The sequence below is a fragment of the Homo sapiens genome, chromosome X (assembly GCF_000001405.40).
Source record: "Homo sapiens chromosome X, GRCh38.p14 Primary Assembly".
NCBI lineage: Eukaryota > Metazoa > Chordata > Mammalia > Primates > Hominidae > Homo > Homo sapiens.
The window spans coordinates 31,240,125-31,264,598 of record NC_000023.11 but is presented as its reverse complement, the minus strand read 5'-3'; the positions used below and the strand labels follow the sequence as shown (position 1 = coordinate 31,264,598).

Genomic DNA, 24,474 nt, shown 5'->3' with positions numbered 1-24,474 from the left:
GTATAAATACTGCTCAGAGAGGCATATCTGATGCCAGGCTTTGGAACCAGCAGGGCCAAAATCAATAACATTTTTTAAAGATGTAAAGAGCGTTTTAAGGATTATTTATGAAGCTGATCTCTGTGTTAATGTACGTACAGACTTGTGATCTATGTTGAACATTGTTGTTCTCAGAAAGGCCAAACAAAGATGTACCCATTAACATGTGAACAGGTTTCAGAATTTCCCTTTTGGTTGTTCATGGTATATGGGGAGTGTATTTCCGATGTGGAGAGTGAAATGCAGAAAAGAGACAATTACCAAAACAGTGCCACCCACCCTTCCACTCCCTCCTCCCTAGCACACCGTGTTTTTCTATATCGTCTGCATATTCCAGGTAAATGTGGGCTCTTCTCATGGAGTTACTGAGAATTCTCTACTGTTTTAGAAGGCAGGCACAGAGTAAGAAACGAAGCTGTAAAATCGGTATTGATCACAGACAAAAATGTGGTTTGTCCTTCAAGGTACAAGATAGATATGAGTTATGCAGATTTGTGCTTACAGTTTCATCCAGTCCATATTCATAGTTCCTATCTATTTTGGAGGGTTAAATGTGTCCCAGTGGGGCTCTGGATTCATCACAGGTAGAAAATAACAAGCCGTGAAGTGAATATTTGGTTCGTCATATAGTTACCAAAGAATCTGAAGGTTTTTTGGCTACGTTGCCAAGCATTTTTAGCATTAAATGATTAAAAGACTATTTTTCTCGTTTTAAGAATTAGTCACACCCTTTATTCTTTTCTTCTTTCCACTTGTGCTCACTTCTTTTGCTTAGAACTGATTTGCAATTGAAGTGAAACTAAGACTGCAAAGGTGAAATCTAAATCTGTTTTTCTAGTTCTTTTGCATTGCTTAGAAATAAAAGGTTTGTGTGTTGAAGGTGAGAAAGGTTAGCTTCTGGAATTGTTTGAGGAGTTCATTTATCTATGTTATTCAAGTCCCCCAGAATCACAGATAACTGGGAGAATAGTACCTATCAAGGACTAGTATCTTAACTCACAAATGGGCAATGGAATTGGGGGCTTAGAATTTCCTCCTTCTTCCAGTAAAGGAGATTTTCAGTTTTGCCGAGGACTGATGGATTAAAAAAAAATAATTTCTAAAACCCTTTTCATAATTTTAACCTTCAAAATAAATTCTTTAAAAAGGCAGGAATGTATGTATGCCAACAGTCATGAAATTTCTTTAGAAGATGGGGAGCTCCATGAAGCCCTCATTCATTCTATGTGGGATTCTCCTGTAAATTGTACACACTGTTTCCCTTTCCTTTTAGAACTGTGTTTGGTACAGGTTTATTTCTTGCCTATGTTCCTCTAATTTGAAGTCCATTCCAGATGGTGGCTTTTCACCGTGGTTCCCTGTCTCTGTCTGATCAGGCTTATCAGCTCAGCTAAATGTTTTTCTGCAGACCTATAGAAGATGCTACGGTCCTTACAAATATCCTGGAGATGGGACATTGTTGTTACACAGTGTGACTAGTAAGGGCCTGTGTGAGCCCTTGTACATGTGGGCACACATGTGTGTGCTTCCTCTCTTCGCTCTTCCTTTCTCCCTGGTGCTTATATCACATCTGGATGACCTTTGGAAATAGAGGAGGCCTGAATGCAGGGTGGTCTCAATAGAAGGTAACCTTTCCTTGCTCTGCACTTATATATGGAATTGGTATACACTCACTTTCCGAGCTGAGAAATGCCTGAGAACAAGCAACACTTTTTCCACGAAGCTGCAAGCTGCAGCCTCCTTGTGCTGTGCATGTAAAGTACCAGTCCTGCCTACCCCTTCTCCAGATCATAAACCGGCTTGGTCATGGGGTGTCCTAAAACCCCTTAAAGCATAGAGACCATATCTCCTGCTCTTCTTGCTCTTTAAGACTTGAATGTCACTCTGTTATATTCCCTCAACTGATAAGCCCTTGTTATAGTCCTCAAATGTGAGTTGTCTCTATGGAAAAGTAAAACTGAAATAAACGTATTTGGAAGACAGTGAAACAGCACTTCACAAGTGAACATTTTCTTGCAAATTGATTTCAGTAGCCCTCACTGTTCAATCACTGACTAGTAAATATTACAGGGATGGTCTTTGAAGTTGTACAGTTTGGATGATTTCCATATGTCTTTATGAGGTTTATGATTGTGTTCCATTTCTTAAACCAACTTAAACGGTTGTTTTAACTTATTTTTTTTAAACATAGGTGATAACATGTAGTGTGTTGGTTTTGCTCTCTAGGAAGGGTCTTTCTTCGCCTTGATTGACTTAATTACAGTTGGATCCACATCTATATTGTAATCAACTAATAACAGATTTGCTTTTAATAGATGACAATTTGAGGGGCACATGATACCAAAAGCGACCACATATTGAGCACCAAATGGTGCCGGTCACTTACCTATTTCAACTAATCCTTTAACCCTCCAAGGTAGGCAGGCTTGCTTTAAATTTCACCGCCAGTAGGGCGCAGAGCCCTAAAATTCAAAACATACGCTAAGGCCATTCGACATTGTTGCCTCTCCAGACTCCTCTTTCTGTGTGAGGCCCCTGTACTTTCTGGTCCTCTGGAAATGCCCCAGTTTAAGCGATTTCTCTTTTTTCCTTCCCTCCCCTTCCCCTCAAAAGTTTATGAATAGGCTCTGCATATGAGTACCCAAATATCATTCAGAACTGCATTTTACTGTATCAAAGCCTGTCATGCAATCCCTGAAAACTGGAAATATGACGCTATGGTGATTTATGTAGATGGGCCAAAGTAAGGAAAAGTATATGTAGTTATTTCTCCAGGGTTTATTCATGTAATTGAATGAGGAACAAAGGTGTTTTGTTCTTTTTGTGGCAGGAGCTGATAGCCAGCAACCACACTTCAAGAAATGGAAGACAGCTGTGAATGCTTCATTCAGGCCCAAGTAAATATAGGAAGAGGTGTAGTGGTGTATAGCGTACTGCGTTTAAAGAAAAAACACTCTGAAATAATGGGAAGAAGGAAGTTATGATATATTAGTCAGGCAGTAGATATACCTTAAGCTGAAATGAAATACAGGTATCATGGATATGAGATCTGTATATGTAGAGGAAAGAGTAATGGAAAAATGTCAGGGGCAGTGAAAGCAAATGAGAAGTGAGATGATTTATATTTATTGAACTAATGTCCGGTATCTCTTTGACAGAGTTGAATAATAATCAGTTGTCGGTGTCCTTTCTGTAGTGTTCCACATTGGATGGGTGAAGAAGTCCTGATAGTCGATTATTGATCACATAACAAGGTCAATTTATCATAACTGAAGTGCGATCGATTTGTGGGTGCAAAGAAGAAACAAATTCTGGAACCGAATAATGTTTATATTGCTTTTCTCTTTGGAAACAAAGCAGAAAGGGGCCTTTCTGCTTGTAAGATAAACATTTCTTCAATACACTATGGAAGCGCTTTGAAATAAAGATTCCGAATGGTTCAAAAGCAAAAATCATGTTGTTGTTATTGTTGTTTTCTTTTTTCCTGTTTTCTTGACTACTCATTGTAAATGCTAAAGTCTTTCTTTATGTTTTGTGTTTTAGCCACGAGACTCAAACAACTTGCTGGGACCATCCCAAAATGACAGAGCTCTACCAGTCTTTAGGTAAGGACATGGCCATGTTTCCTCCAAGTTAAATGACAGGTGACCTTTAGGATAAAGTAGTTTGCAGTGTGAAAGTTACTTGCTATATAAATACATCACTAGATTGTTTCAAGGGTGAAAGCAGTGGCACCTTCCTATCCAAAATTGACAGTCAGCTTTCTTTTTATCAGAGGTTCCTTAAAAACAAGTTTTAGAAGTTGATTGATTCCTAAAAATTCAATATACCTGAGAGGGCCTATAGGTCTTTGTAGTTCTCTTTGGTGCCTAAAATGATGGAAAAACAGTTGCAATTTATGGCTATTTTTTTTTTTCTTCCCACGAAGATAGAAAACTGTTTCAGGTGCTTGTTGATTTCTTCCGTGTGAAACCAAGACAACCCTTTTGCCAAACCACAAATGTTGTGTAAAGGAATTTTCTGCCGTCTTTCCGGTGCTCACAATTCCTAAGGCCTGGCGGGTCATTAATGTGAACATTTAAATGATTTCTTTAGTATGGCTTGTTTTGTGTTTATGTAAGAGCCTGACAGTTCTGTTTTCTTTCCCCTCATAACTTGAATTATTTTGAATGGGTACAGAGCATACAAATAAGGGTTTGAAAACACCAGTCTTTTTACACTGGACAAATGTCCAGATGTCTGGTTTGTCGTTTTAGATCTACAAGGAATATTCTGAAATGAGTTATCTTAAGTTGCAGCTTGTTTTGGGTTTTGTTTTGGGACAGGGTCTTGCTCTGTCTCCCAGGCTGGAGTGCAGTGGTGCGGTTATAGCTTATTGCAGCCTCGAACCCCTGGGCTCATGGCGGTTCTTCTGCCTCAGCCTCCTGAGTAGCTGGGACAACAGGAATGCACCACCACACCCAGCTCATTTTTAAAATTTATTTTTATTTATTTTTGTAGAGATGGGTCTCACTATGTTGCCCAGGCTGTGTTTTTATGTATTTTTTTAATATAAAAACGTCATGTCTTTTCTACTTTTTCAAGCCTGCATTTCTGTGAATGGACATATTGATAGAAAAACACATAAGGCGATCTCTTTGGATTTAAGGTTATGTGATGAACACTGTGGGAATCAGGGTACTTAAACATAAATTCTGTGTAGGTATACGTAAGTGGGGTGTGTGTGTGTCAGGGGGTACGTAGCTATTACTGCTTTTGTGTCATAGATTCTCACAAAATGAATTGCAGCTATAGAGACACCAAGGACTAGAGAAGAGATATTAGCCAAAAAATGGTTTTATTAAACATTTTTCTAATTATAAATGATTAAATGTCTTCTAGAAAACCTGAAAAATGTAAATAAAAAACATGAAAAAGGAAAAACAAAGTCACTTATACTAGCCAGAGAGATCCAATACATTTCGAGTAATATTATGTCATTTCAGTCTGGTTATAAGTGTGTAAACGTTTAAAATTTTAAATAAAATTGGGATCAGCTAATTTTCAAGTGCTACATTTCCAGCCCCTACAGAATGTTTTTGGCTTATAATTGTGGACTGTTTATACCACAGGTGGAAAACGTGAATGCTTATCTTTTGGCAAATGAGAGAATGAAAAGGCTTCATCTGAAGTGGGCAGCAGCTGTCCTGGGCAAGCTGGTCTTTCTATCCCAGTACTCCCAGGACCCCTGATTGTACAAGAGAAAAACTAGAAATCTGTCCACAAAGAGCTAATTTAAATTAGTCTGTGGGCCTCCTGATCGTAACCTGTGGTTTACACAGATTTAGCCCACTTCTAACATTTCCTACTCTAATTACAGTAATTTCTAGTTGTAATATTTTAATTCACTCTTATTTTAAAATCATTATTATTATAGAATTAATACCTATTCATATTTTTGAAGTTTAAAAATATAGACAGGCTAACAATAAAGAAGAGACAAATCATTCGTAACCCCACTTCTTAGAGTTAGCTGGTGTTTAATAGTCTAGGATCTTCAAAAATGTCTTTCTATACATATATTTTTATAGAAGTTGAATCATTCTGTCTTATAACTTGCTTTTTTTTTTTCCACTGGAAAGTAATGTATTACCATGGCCATATTTCCATTTTGTTGTATAGTATTCTCTACCACTTTCAATTACTCTGTAATGAGAAATTGCAAACATGTTTGATGAAAAGCTAATTATGGACTATCAATGAATACATGTTTGCTCCTTTAATACAAATTAAATATACATTTAATCATTATATTTCTAAAATTTTCTCCATACTTTAGATGTGGTGATAAACTCAAAACTGATAATCTCTCATGACTTGTGACATTGGGCTTGTGACATCACTCAATTTTGAATTATAACAGAATTTTACAGTTGCAGGGGATTTTAGAACTCATTTATTGCAAACTTTCTCTTTTATGAAATCAACTTTCAGGTATAATTTTTATATAATAAAAGGAAGTCATCGTAAGTGTGTGATCAATTCCAGCCCCCTTTGAAATTCTGTTTCTTGCTAGCCCAATAACAAACCACTTGCAAGTGAACTAAGTGTTGAAGTTTGCTTTTCACCTTTCAGAGTTAATATTTCCAATAGTTTTGTAACAATCAAACATTCGTTGGGCTTTTATCCAAGTGGTGATTCATCAGATAACATCTCCCATTTATTGCGGGCCTATTGTATGTTTTCCACATGGGATGTGCCAGCAACCAACCTGCATGGTGGATGGTATCAACATCCACATTTCACAGGACAGCGAAGCCAGGCTCAGGGAGGAATTGATCAGGGCTACACAGCTATGTGGGGCTACACCTGGATTTGTCCTCAGTTTTCTGTTAGTACTTTCACTGTTCTCATTGATTTTATTTACTAGGTAAAGTATATTTATGTTGGTTACTACATACCTGCTACACGTATATAGGAATTGATAGTTTTACCTATGAATAGTAAGTTACTTGAGTGGTATTTCTGGAAATGGTATGGTGGGTCCTAAACAATGGGCACTCCTTTCACTGTTGCCTGGCACATATAGAATGATTGTTATATGGCTACATCCTTTTTTGTTTGTTTGTTTTTTGAGACAGATTCTCACTCTGTCACCCAGGCTGGAATGCAGTGGCACGATCTTGGCTCACGGCAACCTCCGCCTCCCCAGGATGAAGTGATTCTCCTGCTTCAGCCTCCCGAGTAGCTGGGATTACTAGGCACCCGCCACCATACCCAGCTAATTTTTGTATTTTTACTAGGGACGGGGTTTTGCCATGTTGGCTAGGCTGGTCTCGAACTCCTGACCTCAGGTGATCCTCCCACCTTGGCCTCCCAAATTGTTAGGATTACAAGCGTAAGCCACAGCGCCCAGCCTGCCTACATCCTTGAGATCCCATATAAGATTAACTACCAGCACTGCCTTTCCCCCTCTCCAAAATTACAGTGTTTCAGAGTCGAAACATAAGCATAAAATACTGAAAAGAAACTTTTCATTGATTTTAGTTTTTACTTATTAGTTTATATTTTTCTTCTTCAAGAGGTATCCCTTTAGGTCCAAATTGCTCTTTGAGCTGGATGAAATGGTCGGAAGCCTTCAACTACAGTCAGTTGGTGAAAGGTATCTTGAAAGCAGAAATGGTGTTGTGGTCTGGCGTGTCAAATGTTTAAGACCACATCTAGCCCCCTCTCCTAATCGAACCTGAACCTCATGTCTCTGGTGAGGTGCTGAAAATATCAAGATGTTGCTTTTTCCCTCTGTACCCCCACTCCAGGCATACTCTACCGTGGAAGCTACAGTGGTTCACAGTATGCATGGTAGGTTACACATTCCTAGAGACGCCCACTTCTAAGGAGATTTCCATTCTCTAATTTGCCAAAGTTCCCAAGCAGCCTGTTCAACACATGTTTATGTTACCTGCCTTGCCCTCAAAAGCATTCAGGTGTTCCCCTGCACCCAGGGTTTGAACACAATAGGATTAGAAGGTGAAAACATTTTGTTAGAACTGAAAAAGTAGCAAGTATTTACTGATGAAAAGCTATAATATTGCTTGAGATATTACCATTGGAGCTCTCTAATACATTCTGGGTGGTTTTCTTTTTCATTCCTTTTCCACTGATTTTCTACAATGAATTTATATTATTTACAGTTAGATGTTTGGTAAAAAAGTTTCTTCGTCGATACCCCCATTCCATTTCTTACTTAGTGTCTCTATAGCTACAATTCATTAACTAATGAGAACTTATGACAGAAAAGCAGCAGTAGCCACACACACACACACACACACACACACACACGCCCCACATATATGTAGATAATTTATACTTAAGGACCCTGATTCTCATGGACTTTGTCAGGTAACTTTAAACTCAAAGAGATCATCTCATGTATTTTTAGTCTGTATGTCCAGTTGTGAAAAATGCAGATGTAGACATTTTAGTGGTAGAGAAAATAGAACTTTTTTGATTAAAAAATAGATAAAAAACAATATAAGATAATTAATTTTAGATTATTTCCAACAGATCTAAAATGGCTTTGCAGAGGAGGTTTCCATCAAGTGTTAGAAATATTGTGTTTCCCTCATTTATCGGCTGTGTACCTACACAAAAAATTGAGAGAAAATATTGCCAGAGTCCTACACAAACAAAGCAAGACATAGTAAAGAAATAATTTAAAGGTTCACTATGATGACTGAACAGTCATTAGGAATTTGAGTCCCCAGAAAATTTTTTACATCACATTAATGGTTTGACAAAAGCATTGTCTTGGATTTTCACAGGGAATAAATCACTAAAAGCAACTGGAAATCAGTTTTCTTTCAGCATTTGTCTGTGACTACCCCCAATAGTCATAGAATGGTAGTAGAGAATAGTAGTGGAGTAAGTGGGATATAAGAGACCAAGTGTCTCATGTCTATTTTTTGTAGACCTTGGTGCTTTATCTTTAAAATGTGAGGATATTGGGGCTGGGCACGGTGGCTCACGCCTGTAATCCCAGCACTTTGGGAGGTCGAGGTGGGCGGATCACCTGAGTCAGGAGATCAAGACCTTCCTGGCTAACATGGTGAAACCCCATCTTTACTAAAAAAACAAAAAATTAGCCAGGTGTGGTGGCACATGCCTGTAATCCCAGCTACTCAAGAGGCCGAGGCTGAAGAATCACTTGAACCCAGGAGTCGGAGGTTGCAATGAGCTGAGATCACGCTGTAGCACTCCCTCCTGGGCAACAAGAGTGAAACTCCATCTCAAAAAAAAAAAAAAAAAAAAAAAGTAACGATATTGGACAAGTGTCTAAGATTTTTGTTTTTCTTTTACTTTGGGCTGAGGGTGGGGCAGGCTGTTTCTAAACTTGCTGTGATCATTATTTTTCAAGAGGTACCTTTCGGCTAACTCTGCAGACAAGTGGATTTCTAAAAATGTAATCATTCCTATGTTTTAAAATGTACATTCTGAGAAAACAAACAACAGGAGAAGATTATGCCACCCATCCGTGTCTTACAGGCTGAGTGAGGCAAGCTGTTGTCAAATAGAGAGGCTCTTGAGATATTTCCCATTAGACTCCTCTGGGTCATTCATTTGTTATTGAGAGGGTACATTCTTCGTCACTCCCTAGAAGTAATAATATGTTTGATTCATGAGGTGAGTTTTAGATTTCTATTAGCATTTTTACAAATGTAATGGAAAGACTGTTCCAATAGGTTAGCTTGGTGATTTAAAACTCTGAGCTCTTCAAGGCTCCAGAAAGCATTTACAACATCAGTAGATGTTAGATAGTAATATGCTCTGGAATTTATTTTGAAATACTAATATAATATTGATTTACATGAAGTGCAATTATGTGGTTAAAAGCCTGTCCTTTTCTCACAATTTATGTCTAGGTCCCTAAGTTCATTACTGAAATTTTAAGAAAATATTTTTTAAAAAGCTCACCCTGCCCCCACACACATAATATATGCTGCTTAGAGATACTTTTATTGGGGTTTTTTTTTTTTTTTTTGACAGCATCTTGCTCTGTCACATAGACTGGAGTGCAGTGGCCTGATCATGGCTCACTGCAGCTTTGAACACCCAGGCTCAAGTGACCCTCCCACCTCAGCCTTCCAAGTAGCTGGGACTATAGCCGTGTGCCACCGTGTCTGGCTAATCTTTTTTTAAATTTTTTGTAGAGATGGAGGTCTTACCATGTTGCCCAGCCTGGTCTCAAACTCTTGGGCTCAAGCGATCCTCCCACCTTGGCCTCCCACAGCTCTGAGATCCCAAGGGTGAGCCACTGCACCTGGCCTTCACAATTTCCAATGTCAAATCTTACTACAAATTTAAGTAATCAAGAGTATTTACATATGGACAGATATACTGACCAACAGAGTAGAATTTAGGCTGGGCACAGTGGCTCACATTTGTAATCCTAGCACTTTTGGAGGCCGAGGCGAGCAGCTCACTTGAGCTCAGGAGTTCAAGACCAGCCTGGGCAACGTGGTGAAACCCCGTCTCCCCATCTCTACAAAAAATACAAAAATTAGCCGAGCATGGTGGCATGTGCCTGTAGTCCCAGATACTCAGGAGGCTGAGGTGGGAGGGTCGCTTGAGCCCGGGAGGACGAGACTGCAGTGAGCCGAGGTTACATCACTGCACTCCAGCCTGGGCAACAGAACGAGACCCTGTTTAAAAACATTATTTCTTAGCCTGTCTTATTGGGGGGGGGTCTCTTAATTATAAATACAATAAAATATGTGGTTCCCCAATGGTTCCTTTTTAAATTACAATGTGAGTTTTTTTGCATTTGTGATACTGTCAGTATAGTACAAGAAGACCAGTTTATGAAGGAGACATGTAGGTAAAAATAGGATAATGTGAAGAGAGAATCGCTGCACTTCAGAAAGCTGATTTTATTTCAAGCAGTTTATTAAAATCTAGATGCACCGTATGTTCTGGTGTTACTTATTCCAATTTCCTTTTCCTTCATTGAAGCCCTCTTAACCACAAGTGTTTTCTCAAGGGGTACTGGTTTTCCTTTTCTTAAGTTATAGCGTTCTTCAGAAGGATCTAGCCCTTTTTAATCTGTTGCCCAATTTTTGGATCCTACTATCCAGCATGATGCTCACCTGAATGATGCGAAAGCTCTCAATTTTCAAAAATGGACTTCTGAGTGTTTTTGGAATTCTTAGGAAAAGTGGTCTTTAAAAACCATAAGATTTGAAGGCAGTCTATCAGCACGTAGCCCTTAGCTTCATGTCTATGGTTTGCAGAGAGCTTCAGAATGTTAAAATGAGGGTTTAATTTTAGGGTCTGCTGGGCCTGAGGTTAGGGGTGTGATTCTTCAGCAGTTCTAGTTAGGAGAACTAGTTAAGTCCTAGTTAAGTCAATGGGGCTAAAAGCTTTTTAAAGATACATCAATATCATTATAAATCAGCAATTTGCAAGAGAGTTAAAAACACTGCTATCAAAATCCTTGTACCTCTTTCCTCAGCTTGCCCAAGAGGAAGGGATATTGTAGTTATTTGTTCACTCTCCTCTTTTGATAGGCTTTCTACATTCCATTAAGTATTCCCTCCTGAGGATGCTCTTGGGTTAGAAACTGCAGGATTCTGAATGACTATGAATTCCTTCCTTTTGCATTAGGAGCTTGTCCTAATGCTTTTCTCAGCATATTTTGTGAACTAAACTGTTCTCCACTAAGCTACTCAATATTTAGCTTTCCTTGGCTCTTGCTTCTAGTTCCTTAATATATTGCTCAGTGTTAAAACCTCTGCCTTTTGACTTTTTACTGCCATAACGCTTTGAACTGGAAAGGATAGCTAGATTCAGATGCCAGCTTTGGTGTGACCTCGGGCAAGTCCCTTGCTTTCTATTGGTCTTCATTTTCTTATATGTCATGTTGGCCAGTGATCTTTCATCATTAAATGACTGGTTTTGTTTTAACCCCTGGCTAGAGTAAAGCTTGGTTGTATGAATGTTGTCAGCCCTAAACCCCCAGTTCCTCTTTGTCACCACCAACCTAAAGGATATGAATAATAGGATAATCATATTTATTAATTTAATTTTTTTTTTTTGAGACGGAGTCTCACTCTGTCGCCAGGCTGGAGTGCAGTTGCACGATCTCATCTCACTGCAACCTCCACCGCCCGCGTTCAAGCGATTCTCCTGCCTCAGCAGCCTCCCGCCACCATGCTCAGCTAATTTTTGTATTTTTAGTAGAGACGGGGTTTCACCATGTTGGCCAGGATGGTCTCGATCTCTTGACCTCATGATCCACCCGCCTCGGCCTCCCAGAGTGCTGAGATTACAGGCGTGAGCCACCGCTCCTAGCCTATAATCATATTTGTAATAATTGTACTTTATTTGTGTAGCACTTTACAATGGCGAAGAGTTTTCAGAAATAACCATATTTAATCCTCACACAGCTATAGAGTAGGTGGCATATGACCTGGATTTTCTATCAATTTCAGTTTCAGATTTTTTGTCCTGTCATCCCTTTGAGTGTCCTTCCAGTTTTTGATTTGGGAAATAATGCTACCATACCGGTGGATGGGGCAACTTTTCCCTTCTTTCCATTTGGACTTGAGCAGACTGAGACTCAAGACTTGATTTGATTTATACTCACTATGGTAGAAGATAAGGAACCAAGTCCAGAACACACATTTTACAAACTCCGAGTTCTCTGTTCTCAAAGGAACATCCATTACTCTTAGCATGATTTATAAAACTGCTTTATCGGCATAATTAAACTGGAATCCATATGACATTCTTTATTCCCTAGCTGACAAAATTAGCACAGGAGATTTACTCAAATTTGTTATTAAGGCTGTTATAAATGTTCTTCCTTTACTATTCAGCTTATAAAAGAAAAAAGAAAAATAATCTGCTCTTTTAACTTTGATTAGGATCCATTGACTTTCCCCATTTGTAAAATAGAAATGTAACTTCCAAATCAAAATTTATGGCATTTTAATGGACTGTTCTAAATATTATAATATTTTTTCTTGTTCAAATAACTTGATTTAAAGCTTCTAATTGAAGAACATAATAGATATTTCTGAATTGCATCTCTCCAAGCTTATTTCAGAAGGAAACTCAAAAAGAATTGTTCCTTAGACTTTGACTGGTTTACAGTTTTAAAAGAGCTGCCAAATTGTAGTTTACTGATCTAAATAAGAGGAACATTAAGGTTACACCTGCAGCTAGAAGAAAAGTGCTGGATATGTACAATTTTATGTAGCTGGATCTGCAGAAGATGATTTTTGCACACAGAGTAAAGGCATCTAAAAACGTGTCTGCTCTTATTCAGACATTTCCAATATTTCTTTTTTAAGCCCACAAGTCTGATTACCTCTGTATGTCTCTTGGGAGCTGCAATTTTGCTGGAAAGAGATTCAGAACAGTCAGAGCACTCACATAAAATAGATAGTTTTTAAAGTCTGTACCCTCTACGGTAGTAATAAAATGACCTAAAAATATTCTGAAAGTCTCTCTTATGACATAGTGGATGAATCATTAGCTTATTTATGAATTGGTGATATTCTGTGGGAATGTTTCAAAATTTGCTATTCCACAAAGCGTTCATCGCTTGCATAACTCCAGGAAAGTCATTACACCCCCTCATAAATAGAAGCTTATATAACGGAGACAAATGTTGCTTATATTGATATATTTACATACAGATTTCTTTACCAAGCATTAATTTTGGTAAGAAAGTGATTGTTTTTATATTTTACTTTCTTGGTCTGTAAAGAGGCTATCACTTTAAGGCCAGGCATGGTGGCACGCACCTGTAGTCCCAGCGCTTCCAGAGGCTGAGGCAGAAGGATCCCTTGAGCCCAGGAATTTGAGTCCAGCCTGGGCAATATAGCAAGACGTTGTCTTAGAAAAAAAAAAAAAGAAGCTATCACTGAAGAGCAGTGCTTCTCAAACTGGTGAAGGGCCAGGTTTTTGTTGGTGGTGGGTTTTTTTTTTTGTTTTTTTGAGACAGAGTCTTGCTCTGTTGCCAGGCTGGAGTGCAGTGGTGCGATTTTAGCTCACTGCAAACTCTGCCTCCCGGGTTCAAGCGATTTTCCTGCCTCAGCCTCCCGAGTAGCTGGGATTACAGGTGTGCACCACCACACCCAGCTAATTTTTGCATTTTTAGTAGAGACGGGGTTTCACCATGTTGGCTAGGATGGTCTCGATCTCTTGACCTCATGATCTGCCAGCCTCCGCCTCCCAAACTGCTGGGATTACAGGCGTGAACCACTGCACCCAGCCGCGGTGGTGGTTTTTAACATACTACACATCACAGATTTTTAGGTGGTGCTAATGAAACTGACAAGTATGCATTCACACCACATGTAACTCAACAGTCAAGTTCAACAACACTTGACCTCGTCTGTACCCTGCTCCATGAGATGAATTCATTGATCATGAATTTGGATGTCATGGCAATGTCAAATTGCTATAGAAGTTACTTAACACACTGTCCATATCTATGCTTGTGAAAGACCATATTTTGAGTAGCACTGTTCTAGAGCACTTAATTTTTGAAAGTATAAATGTAAACTCAAATCAAGTGACTCAGGTCGGGGGAGGATAATTAACCAAACAGGAACACCTGAAAATGTTATTTATGCGGTTTAATGTTTTGCCAGTTGAGTCAAGTTCAGGCAGAGGAGGGATCTATTTTCTTTCCCACTTGGTAGCTCTCCTTAGCAATTGTTTTAGAAGACAAAGCATAGAAATCATTGTGTTACAGGAAGGAACCAGAGATTAAGCGGCAGAGCCACTGCTGCCTAGTTTAATGTCTCTCGCACCCCCTATAATTAAATATAATGTATATAATGTGATAAGTTTAAAATACAGGTTTGCTTTTATCTAGAATATAAACTGTGATATATGCACTCTTTATGGGGTGCATTCAGTGGGGGAACTAATTGATTATACTGTGACTTTCCTATTGTCACTTTATGAGTTTAGGTTTGGAGGCAATGTTTTGCAGCAACAAAATTGTTCATTGACTTTGAGGCTGGATTTAAATTCTGATTCTGTCACCAGTTCTCTGTGGTCAAAAAGGAAGCCACTAATAATTTTAAACCTCAGTTATGTGATGTATTAAATAGTTATGATGAGACTTATCTTGTGTTGTGAGGATTAGAATGACATATGTAAGGTAACAGAATGTCTGATGTAGTAACTGCTCAAGGAATTATAATTGCTATTAGTGATATGCATTATTATTATTAGTTATTATTATCATATACCAGTGTCTCTCCTTATTTAATAATCTATTGGGTTCCTGAATTGAGATACCAAGAATTCAGATAGTGAGAGACACCTAGGTTTAGGTCTTCACATTTGACACTCAAGGAGCCACTAAATTTTTCTGAAGTATTTTACTTCTTAACCAAGGTGATAAAGATCACCTGATCACAATTTATCCTAACTTTTGGAAAGCATACACGTACTTTAATTTGACATGCAAATTAAAATAATACATTTTGTACTGTGTTGTTTGCCCTCCCCCAATTCTAAAATAATATATCATTCAGGATAAAAAAGACTACACTTTGGGAGGCCGAGGCAGGTGGATCACCTGAGGTCAGGAGTTCGAGACCAGCCTGGGCAACACGGTGAAACCCCATCTCTACTAAAATAAAAATTTAAAAAAGCCAGAAGTGGTGGCGTCTGCCTGTAGTACCAGATACTCGGGAAGCTGAGGCAGGAGAATTGCTTGAACCTGGGAGGCACGGGTTGCAGTGAGCCAAGATCGCACCACTGCACTTCAGCCTGGGCAACAGAGTGAGACTCTGTCTCAAAAAAGAGCATAAATATCTAATAAATGATGGTGGTACTAGTCTGTGGTAGTGGAGGTATCACAGAATGGCTGTAGAGATGAGGAGGGCTAAAACTGTGAAAAGCCTTATATGGTATGTTGAAGGTTTTTTATACTAAGGTTTTTGATTTGGAAGATGTATCAATCAGGGTCTGCCTGGTCAGAAAACATAAACCCTCTAGTTATTTCAAACAAAGGGAATTTAATGCGGGAAATTGGTTACTCAAGAATGGAAGTGCTGAGAAGCCACACACACAGCATGAAGTTTCTGTTATACCTAGGGCTGGAGGGACAATGACAAGAGGTGGTATCACCAGAGCCCCAGATGTCATGGGCATCAAGGCGGAGTTGGAACCTTTGGCCAGCTGGGACCAATGAGGGAGGGGCTCCGAGGGAGCTGGAGCCAGGAAGGAGACACAGTTAGCCAGACCTATTGCCGGAGGTAGAATGAAAAAGGAAGTACGCCCGGCTTCTCCTTTCCGCCTGCCCTCTAGGCTTCTGCCAGTGACTCCTATTGGCCAAACTTACTTGGAAGCCAATTGGTAAGGGAGCAGGAAAATGTACTGTAATAAACAGCAGAGCAGAGAAAAGGCAGAGAAAGTATCAAAAACCAACAAGCAAATGATTGAAGTACAGGAGATCCCATGGACAGTAAGGCAACCAACCCTCTATGCAGATATTTCGGGAACAAGAAACATAAAAAAACTAAAAAGCTTTCATAGGAGTTTGAGGTGACATAGATAAGATACCAGAAGGACATCCTGGGTTCAAAGGAAACTGATCTTAAAGGAGAGGAGGTAGCAATTAAAACAAATTATCTGCAGAGAAGTCCAAACACTAAGGATAAGCTTCCATGCATTTGATGAAAGTACTTGCGACGTTTACAGGTGTTTATGCTCATGACTCTCAAGACTAAATACAGACATACCTTGGAGATTTTGCAGGTTCAGTTCCAGAACACTTCAGTAAAGCAAATATCACAATAAAGTAAGTCACACAAGTGTTTTGGTTTTCTAGTACATATAAGTTATGTTTACTCTATAATGTAGTCTAGTAAGTGTGCAACAGCATTATGTCTTAAAAAACAATGTACATACCTTAATTTAAAATACTTTATTGTTAAAAAAGCTAACGATCACCTGAGCCTTCAGCCAGTAATGATCCTTTTGCTGGTGGAGGGTCTTGCCTCGATGTTGATGGCTGCACAGCATGGTGGTTGCTGAAGGTTGGGGTGGCTGTGGCAATTTCTTAAAATAAGACAACAATGAAGACTGCCACTCAGTTGACTCTTCCTTTTGTGAAAGATTTCTCTGTAGAATGTGATACTATCTCATGAAACCACTTACTTTGCTCATCCATAAGTAGCAACTCCCTATCCATTAAAGTTTGATCATGAAATTGCAGCAATTCAGCCATATCTTCACGCCCCACTTGTGATTTCAATTTTCTTCCTGTTTCCACTACATCTGCAGTTACATCCTCCACTGAAGTCTTGAACCCCTGACAGTCATCCATGAGGGTTGGAATCAACGTCTTCCAAACTCCTGGTAATGTTGATATTTTGACGACCTCCTATCAATCACAAATGTTCTTAATGGCATCAAGAATCACTTCCAGAGATTTTTTTTTTTTTTTTTTTTGAGACACAGTCTTGCTATGTTGTCCAGGCTGGAGTGCAGTGGCGTGATCTAGGCTCACTGCAACCTCTGCCTTCCTGGGTTCAAGTGATTCTTCTGCCTCAGCTTCCCGAGTAGCTGGGACTACAGGCGTGTGCCACTACGCCCGGCTAATTTTTGTATTTTTAGTAGAGACGGGGTTTCACCATTTTGGCCAGGCTGGTCTCAAACTCCTGACCTCATGATCCACCTGCCTCGGCCTCCCAAAGTGCTGGGATTACAGCCGTGAGCCACCACACCTGACTTCCAGAGATTTTCCATTTACTTTGCCCAGATCCATCAGAGGAATCACTGTCTATGTCAAGCTATAGCCTTACAAAATATTTCTCAACTAATAAGAGTTGAAAGTCACAATTTTTTCTTAATCCTTGGGCTACAGAATGGATGTTGTGTAAGCGGGCATGAAAACGTGAATCTCTTTGTACATCTCCATCCAAGCTTTTGGGTGACAAGGTGCATTGTCAGTGAGCAGTTATATTTTGAAAGGAAACCTATTTTGAACACTAGGTCTTACAGTGAGCTTGAAATATTCAGTAAACCATGCCGTAAACAGATACGCTGTCATCCAAGCTTTGTTTTTCCATTTATACAGCACAGGCAAAGTAGATTTCACATAATTCCTTTTTTTTTTTTCCTTCCAAGACGGAGTCTTGCTCTGTCACCCAGGCTGGAGTGCAGTGGTACGATCTTGGCTCACTGCAACCTCCACCTCCCGGGTTCAAGCAATTCTCCTGCCTCAGCCTCCTGAGTAGCTGGGATTACAGGCGTCTGCCACCACACCTGGTTAATTTTTGTATTTTTAGTGGAGACGGGGTTTCACCATGTTGGCCAGGCTGGTCTCCAACTCCTGACCTCGTGATCTGCCCGCCTCAGCCTCCCAAAGTGCTGGGATTACAGGCATGAGCCACTGTGCCCGGCCTGATTTCACATAATTCTTAAGGGCCCTGTGATTTCAGAATGGTAGATGAGCATTGGCTTCAACTTAGTCACCAGCTGCATTAGGCCCTACTAAGAGATACAGCCTGTCCATTGAAGCTTTGAAGGCAGTCATTGATTTCTCCTCTAGAGCTATGAAAGTCCTAGATAGTATCACCTTTAAATAGAAGGCTGTTTCATCTATGTTGAAAATCTGTTGTTCGTTGTAGCCACCTTCATCCATGACCTTAGCTTCATCTGGAAAACTTGGCTGCAGCTTCTGCATCAATGCTTGCTGCTTCATCTTGCACCTTAATGTTATGGATATGGCTTGTTTCCTTAAGCTTCTTGAAGCAACCTCTACTAGCTTCCAACTTTTCTTCTGCAGCTTCCTCATCTCTTTTAGCCTTCATAGAATTGAAGGGAGTTAAGGTTTTGCTCTGGATTAGGCTTTGGCTTAAAGAAATGTTGTGGCTAGTTTGATCTTCTATTCAGAGCACTCAAACTTTCTCCATATCAGGAATAAGGCTGTTTTACTTTCTTATCATTTGTGTGCTCGCAGGGTAGTACTTTTAATTTCCTTCATTAACTTTTCCTTTGCATTCACAACTTGACTGTTTGGCATGAGAGGCCTAGCTTTCAGTCTGTCTCATCTTTCAACATGCTTTCCTCACTAAGCTCAATCATTAATAGCTTCTGATGTAAAGTGACAGAGGTATGGCTCTTTCTTCCCTTGAACACTTAGAGGCCATTGTAGGGTTATTAATTACCCTGATTTTAATATTGTTGTGTCTCAGAACAGGAAGGCCAGAGGAGAGGGAAAGAGATGGGGGAACAGCTGGTCGGTGGAGCAGTCAGAACACGTATGACGTTGATCAATTAAGTTTGCCATCTTATGTGGGTGTGGTTAGTTGCACCCCAAAACAATTTCAGTAGTAACATCAACGATTACTGATCACGATTCACCATAATAGATATAAAAATAATGACAAATTTGAAATATTGAGGGAATTTTCAAAACGAGACACAGACCCAAAGTGAGCACATGCTGCTGGAAAAATGTCCATAGACATGCTCAACACAGGATTGCCACAAACCTTCAGTTTGTAAACAATGCAATTTTCACAAAGTGCAATACAGCAAAGTGCAATTTAATGAGATGAGCCTGTAATGAGCCTCTTTAAAGCAGGAACTGTCTTCCTCATCTTTGTCACCAGTGCCTGGTGCATGGTAGCCTCTGAAAAAATAATTGTTCATTGAATGAAGCACAGTAGAGCAAGGGAGAGTGATTTTGCTCGGGAGGAAAACAAATACCACTCAAGAAGATGGAAAGATACAGATGAGGGTTTTCTAAGGCGGATTATTAAACTGGCAAGATGGAACTCTGGAGAGATGGAGTTCTTTCCAGAAAGTAGAAGATAAAGCCTCAAAGTAATTAAAATAGGGAATATCAGTTAAGTTGTAGATTTTATTGGCAATTTGTTATCTTAGCAAAACCAAGTGAACTGCTATTCTGGAATTAATTTTGCCCTAAAAGGAATAATTAATTGATAAGGAGAAATAAGACCCGTAAAAAGTGTCACTATGGATTCAGAATTTATATGACAAAGAAAGGAAACACTGAACACAATTTGATGTGCTGATGGCCTCGTTCGTTCATTGGTTTCCTGCTTCAGTAAACATTTAAGAGCGTGCCATGTATTTTCAAACTTTAGGGCAACAGGCTAAAAATATCAAGGAGAAAAACGTTTACTGAGGGTATAGAAGTTTTTATGATCTTACTTTTATTGAACATTAAAACATGGATGTTCATTCTAGAAATTTTAGAAGGTGAAGTGCAAAAACAAAATGAAAATCACCTCACATCTCAGTACCCAGAAATAGCCACTATTTACATTTTAAAAGATTGCTTCCGGTCTTCTTTCCTATGCATTTTTATATAGTTGTTTGAGATAATAGAATGTTTAAAGTGTTGTATCCTACTGTAATCATAAGTCTTCTCTTATTCTTAGTTCCTCAGAGATGTTATTTTTCGCTAGTTGCAGTTTATTGGGGTACCACTTTTGTAAAAAAATATTTCCCAATTTTTGAAAATTGTGACAAAGAAAAGTCAAATTCGTGTTGAATTTATGGAAGGAAATCTTTAAGAATCTGGAGGCTTATTACTAACAAGCTTCTGAGAAGAAAGCCAAGTAAAGTGTTATAATACCTTCTGTCCAACAAGCTACTTATGTATAAGTGATGTTACAGAATAAAGTCAGTGTGGTCAAAAACAGACAGTCAGTTATCAGAAAGTTGATAAGTAACATTTATCCTATGAAAAATATAGCTATGAATTTAAATCAATAGTTTTCTACCACAAATATCTTAATGGATAAAATTTTCTTTACCAAATATGTATGGTGTCAAGGTGACAAGGCAAGTATCCTTGTAAACTTTCCGAATTACAGGAACAACTTTGCCCTTCTTAGCAAGCAATTTTATACAGAAACTCAACTTTATGATGGGTTTCTGTAAGTTTTAATTTTTATAATAACTGATATGTAAATATTTAGTTACCTTTAACTTATCTCTCCAGGTAGAATGGCTAGCAGACTGTTTTATCTTCTCAAAACATTTGTGTGTACAGTTCCCATGTTCTTTTCAAGGTTCTTGCTTCTAACTGTCAGTTAAGGCTTTTGTAGCCTCTTACTTCAGTTACATTTTCTGGCCAAGACGCAATTAAAGAATATAGAGCTGATAATTATTTCCATAGTCGTTTCCAATTTTTCTACTGTTCCACGTAAGACTTTGAGGAACACCTTTATGCATAACACCTTTCTACATTTGATTCATGTAAGTGGAATCACTGAGTCAAATGGTGTTAATGTTTCTAAGCTTCTTGGAATGCACTGCCTGAAACTTTCTCAAAAGGCTGTAGCCATTTACACTCATAATACTTCAAAGTGCCAATCTAACCATGTCCTTCCCAGCATGGAGTATTATTTTTACTTTTGCTATTGTAACAAGGAAAATTAAACCATCTCATTGTTAATATTTGTGTATTTTTTATTTCTAGTGACCACAAATGTTTTCTTTTAAATATCTGCTGGGTGTTTTTCTTCTTTTTTGAGTAATGTGAAAACAAAACGAAGTTAACCAAACACAACTCTTCCAAACTTTTCTGATATAATACACACTTTTTTGTGTGTTATGTTGAGGGGCTCTAGTTGGTAACAGCCTCCTGGTTACATAAATACTGTACAGTTTAATTTTTTTTCAGCTAAATAAGCCTTATCCCTTTATCCATCCTTAGTGGATCTATTATCTACCCATTAAATTAAATTTTATTCTCTATACCAACTCCTGTTTCTTCACATTTTTTAAATATATGCAGAGCCCTAAATTACAGTGGCTGTCCTAATAAAAGGCTATTCAGTTATTAACAGAAAAGGAAGATTGCTTCCTGCCTCTTGGGTGAGGAAGACTCATGTATACCATAGATATGGTCAGTTTACATTTACAGTTTTCTGTGAGGCATTGATTTTTTTCCCCCATAAATATGGAGTACTTAGAATGTTCAAAACCTTTCTCTGGGTAATAGAATGCACAAAAGTATAAGGCATGATCCCTGTTCATTGCCCAAGCTGGCGTGACTCTGGTCATGCAGCGGACTTCATGATGTGATAGAATTCCTTGCCTATGAGAGTGAAGGAGATGGTACCAGGTCTACTTGTGGCCGGTGGTGGAACACTTACATTATTCTAAGTCCTTTCTGTCTGTAGAACCCAAATGACAACCATATTATTTTATCTTCTCTTATTGCTAGTGGTATCGTTTATTAATGCCAACGTATACCCATTTTGCTTTTCAAGGTTACTTTAGATGTCTTAGGTTGGAATGACTGAAGGCTTATACATTCAAATTTATATATGACACACACACACACACACACACACACACACACACATATCTTATTGTTGCCTGCTATCTTTCTACCTGTTGTATAAGAAATCCTTTGAAAAAAGCCTATGTCAGCTTCACAAAAGATGTTACTGTGTTTTGGGGGAAATAAAATTGGGAAGTAATAAAACAGTTAATAAATGTTACAAGACCGTGTACACCAACTTAAATAAGATTAAGGTCAAACGTATGGTACCTTATATAGGTAGGAAGAGCAGTATTAATTAGAATAATTAGGGAGAGTTGTTTGGAGAGTGGAAAAAAACATTGTTCTAGGAAGAAATTTTGTAATACTCAGGTAAAGTAAAATGTAGGGCCAAGATATTCCAGATAGTGTAGCAGCATAAACAAAGGTATGAAAGACTGGCTTGTTTGCGAGTCAGTGAAGACATTGTTCTCTGAGAATCTACTCCAGATTTTTTTTTTTTTTTTTTTTTTTTTTTTTGCTTTTTGAGACAGGGTCTCACTTTGTCGCCCAGGCTGGGGTGCAGTGGTGCGAACATGGCTCACTGGTGCCACAACCTCCTGGGCTCAAGTGATTCTCCTGCCTCAGCCCCCCAGGCAGCTGGGACTACAGGCACACACCGCCATACCTGGCTAATTTTTGTATTTTTGGTAGAGACAGGGTTTTGCCATGTTATCCAGGCTGTTCTCAACTCTTGAGCTCAAGCCATCTGCCCATCTCGGCTTCCTAAAGTGCTGGGATTACAAGAATGAGCCACCGCGCCTGGCCACTCCAGATTTTTAAAAGGGAAATCTGATTCAGTGCCCCTGGGGTGAACTAAGTGCCTTAAATTATAGAGTGAGAAATTTACATTGCATTTGATTGGCAATGGGAAAAACATTGTTAAATCTTCAGAAAAGAGAAATAATGAAGTCCGTCTTCTGTGTTTTGGAATAGGAATTTGGTGGGTGAGTTTAAGGACAGTTAGAGAGGGGAGAGATTATTTCGTTTTGTTTTGAGGTAATTGACATGATGAGGGTCTTAGGATAGCAATGGGGGAAGGAAAAGGGAACGTGACTCCAGAGGTTTTTCTTAACAAGGTAGAATTGCCAGAAGGTAATCACAGATTGGACAGGTTTTAAAGAAAAAGGGAGTTATATGTCTTCAAAATTTGAAGGCGTGGTGACACAGAGAATGGTGATACCATTGAGGAAAAGAGGAAATTGCAAACTGAGCGGAGCAACAGGGAATAGATATGAATTTGATTGAATTACATACTTATGGGTTTATTTACAATTTCTCTTCTTAGAAAAATTTATTTTTGGTGGCTCATATAAATGTATGTGCTGCCATACCATAAGCATATATTTCTCATTAATCCTTTCAAAAACCCTGTAAAAGATATTTGTATCTCCATTGTGCAGATGAGGCTCAGAGAAAATAGGTAATTTTCTCACATTGCAAAGCAGGGATTTACGTGTACTTTTAACTCCTAAACCAGCGATTTAGCCCCTCAGCTATACTTTCTTCCTGAGAGGGGACAGTGGCATTTTGAAGAGGAAATACTCTAAAGCCATTTGAAAAGGGGAACCGAAGAAAGAGTTTGGTCCACAGCATGATAAAAATATTACTTGCACTTTTATTATACTTTATAACAAGAAGTACAGGGGCAGAGAAAGGTTCCTAACTTTTACTGAGCAAGTATATATCCAAGATACATCTCCTCTTTGGAGCTTTTGAGATACACTATCTCTCTTAGTTTTGCAACAGCCCTAGGAATAGGTACTATTACTGTTCCCTTTAAAAATGAACAAAAAAAAAATGAAGCTTAGGAAAGTTAAGGTTACTAGACCAAGCTTATTGGGAGACCATAGTGATGAAGAGGAAGGGCTTTAGGGTCAAATGGATTTGAATTTTACTTCTTAGGCCTTTGGTTTCCTTATTTATAAAATGGGATTGAAATAATGATATCACAGTTGAAGGTAATTATATGAGAATTTATGTTATTTATTGCAAACATAGGGTAAGCACCTAATAAATGATAACCTGAGAATTTATGTTATTTATTGCAAACATAGGGTAAGCACCTAATAAATGATAACCATTATTACTATTATTTTACAGCAAAGACATAAATAGAGCCCATTAAGTTTTCTTCTCTACCCAGTAGTTTTTCCATTGTACAATAGTACTCTCCTGAAGGACAGCGGGTGAAGCTAAGAATTTGGAAGAAATCCCAGATAGAGAAATCTTGAAAAGAAGATAGATAGATTTAATACTCAATCATTAAAAAAAGTGCACATGACTTTAAGAAATCAAACATTGTAAGAGGATAGTATTGAAAAGTAAGTCTCCAACCACTCTTGGTATCAATCCCCTAATTTTACTTCCTAGAGACAATTAACAGTATAGTTTTTATGTTTGCTTCTGTAAATATTTTTGCATATACAAACATACACATAAAAATATGCCCATTTTTGCACATTGAGAGTATAATAGGCACAATGTTCTGTTCTTTGATGCTATTACCTTTTACATAATTAACCTGGAGTTTTTTTTTTCCTGTAGCGCAATAGACTGACAGATGGTGAATGAAAACTTGCACTATGGAGAGTTATGTCAGTGTTTTAATAAGACAG

At 38.6% G+C, this 24,474-nt stretch overlaps 1 protein-coding gene across 26 annotated transcripts in view; it reads left to right on the top strand.

Moving 5' to 3' along the window:
- The window catches only part of DMD (dystrophin), a 2,220,167-nt gene that overhangs the window by 2,074,790 nt on the left and 120,903 nt on the right, over nt 1-24,474 (top strand). For all 26 annotated transcript variants that reach the window (XM_006724469.4, NM_000109.4, XM_011545467.2 and 23 more), the window contains 1 exon segment: nt 3,583-3,644. In XM_006724469.4, coding sequence (XP_006724532.1) covers nt 3,583-3,644 — 62 coding nt within the window.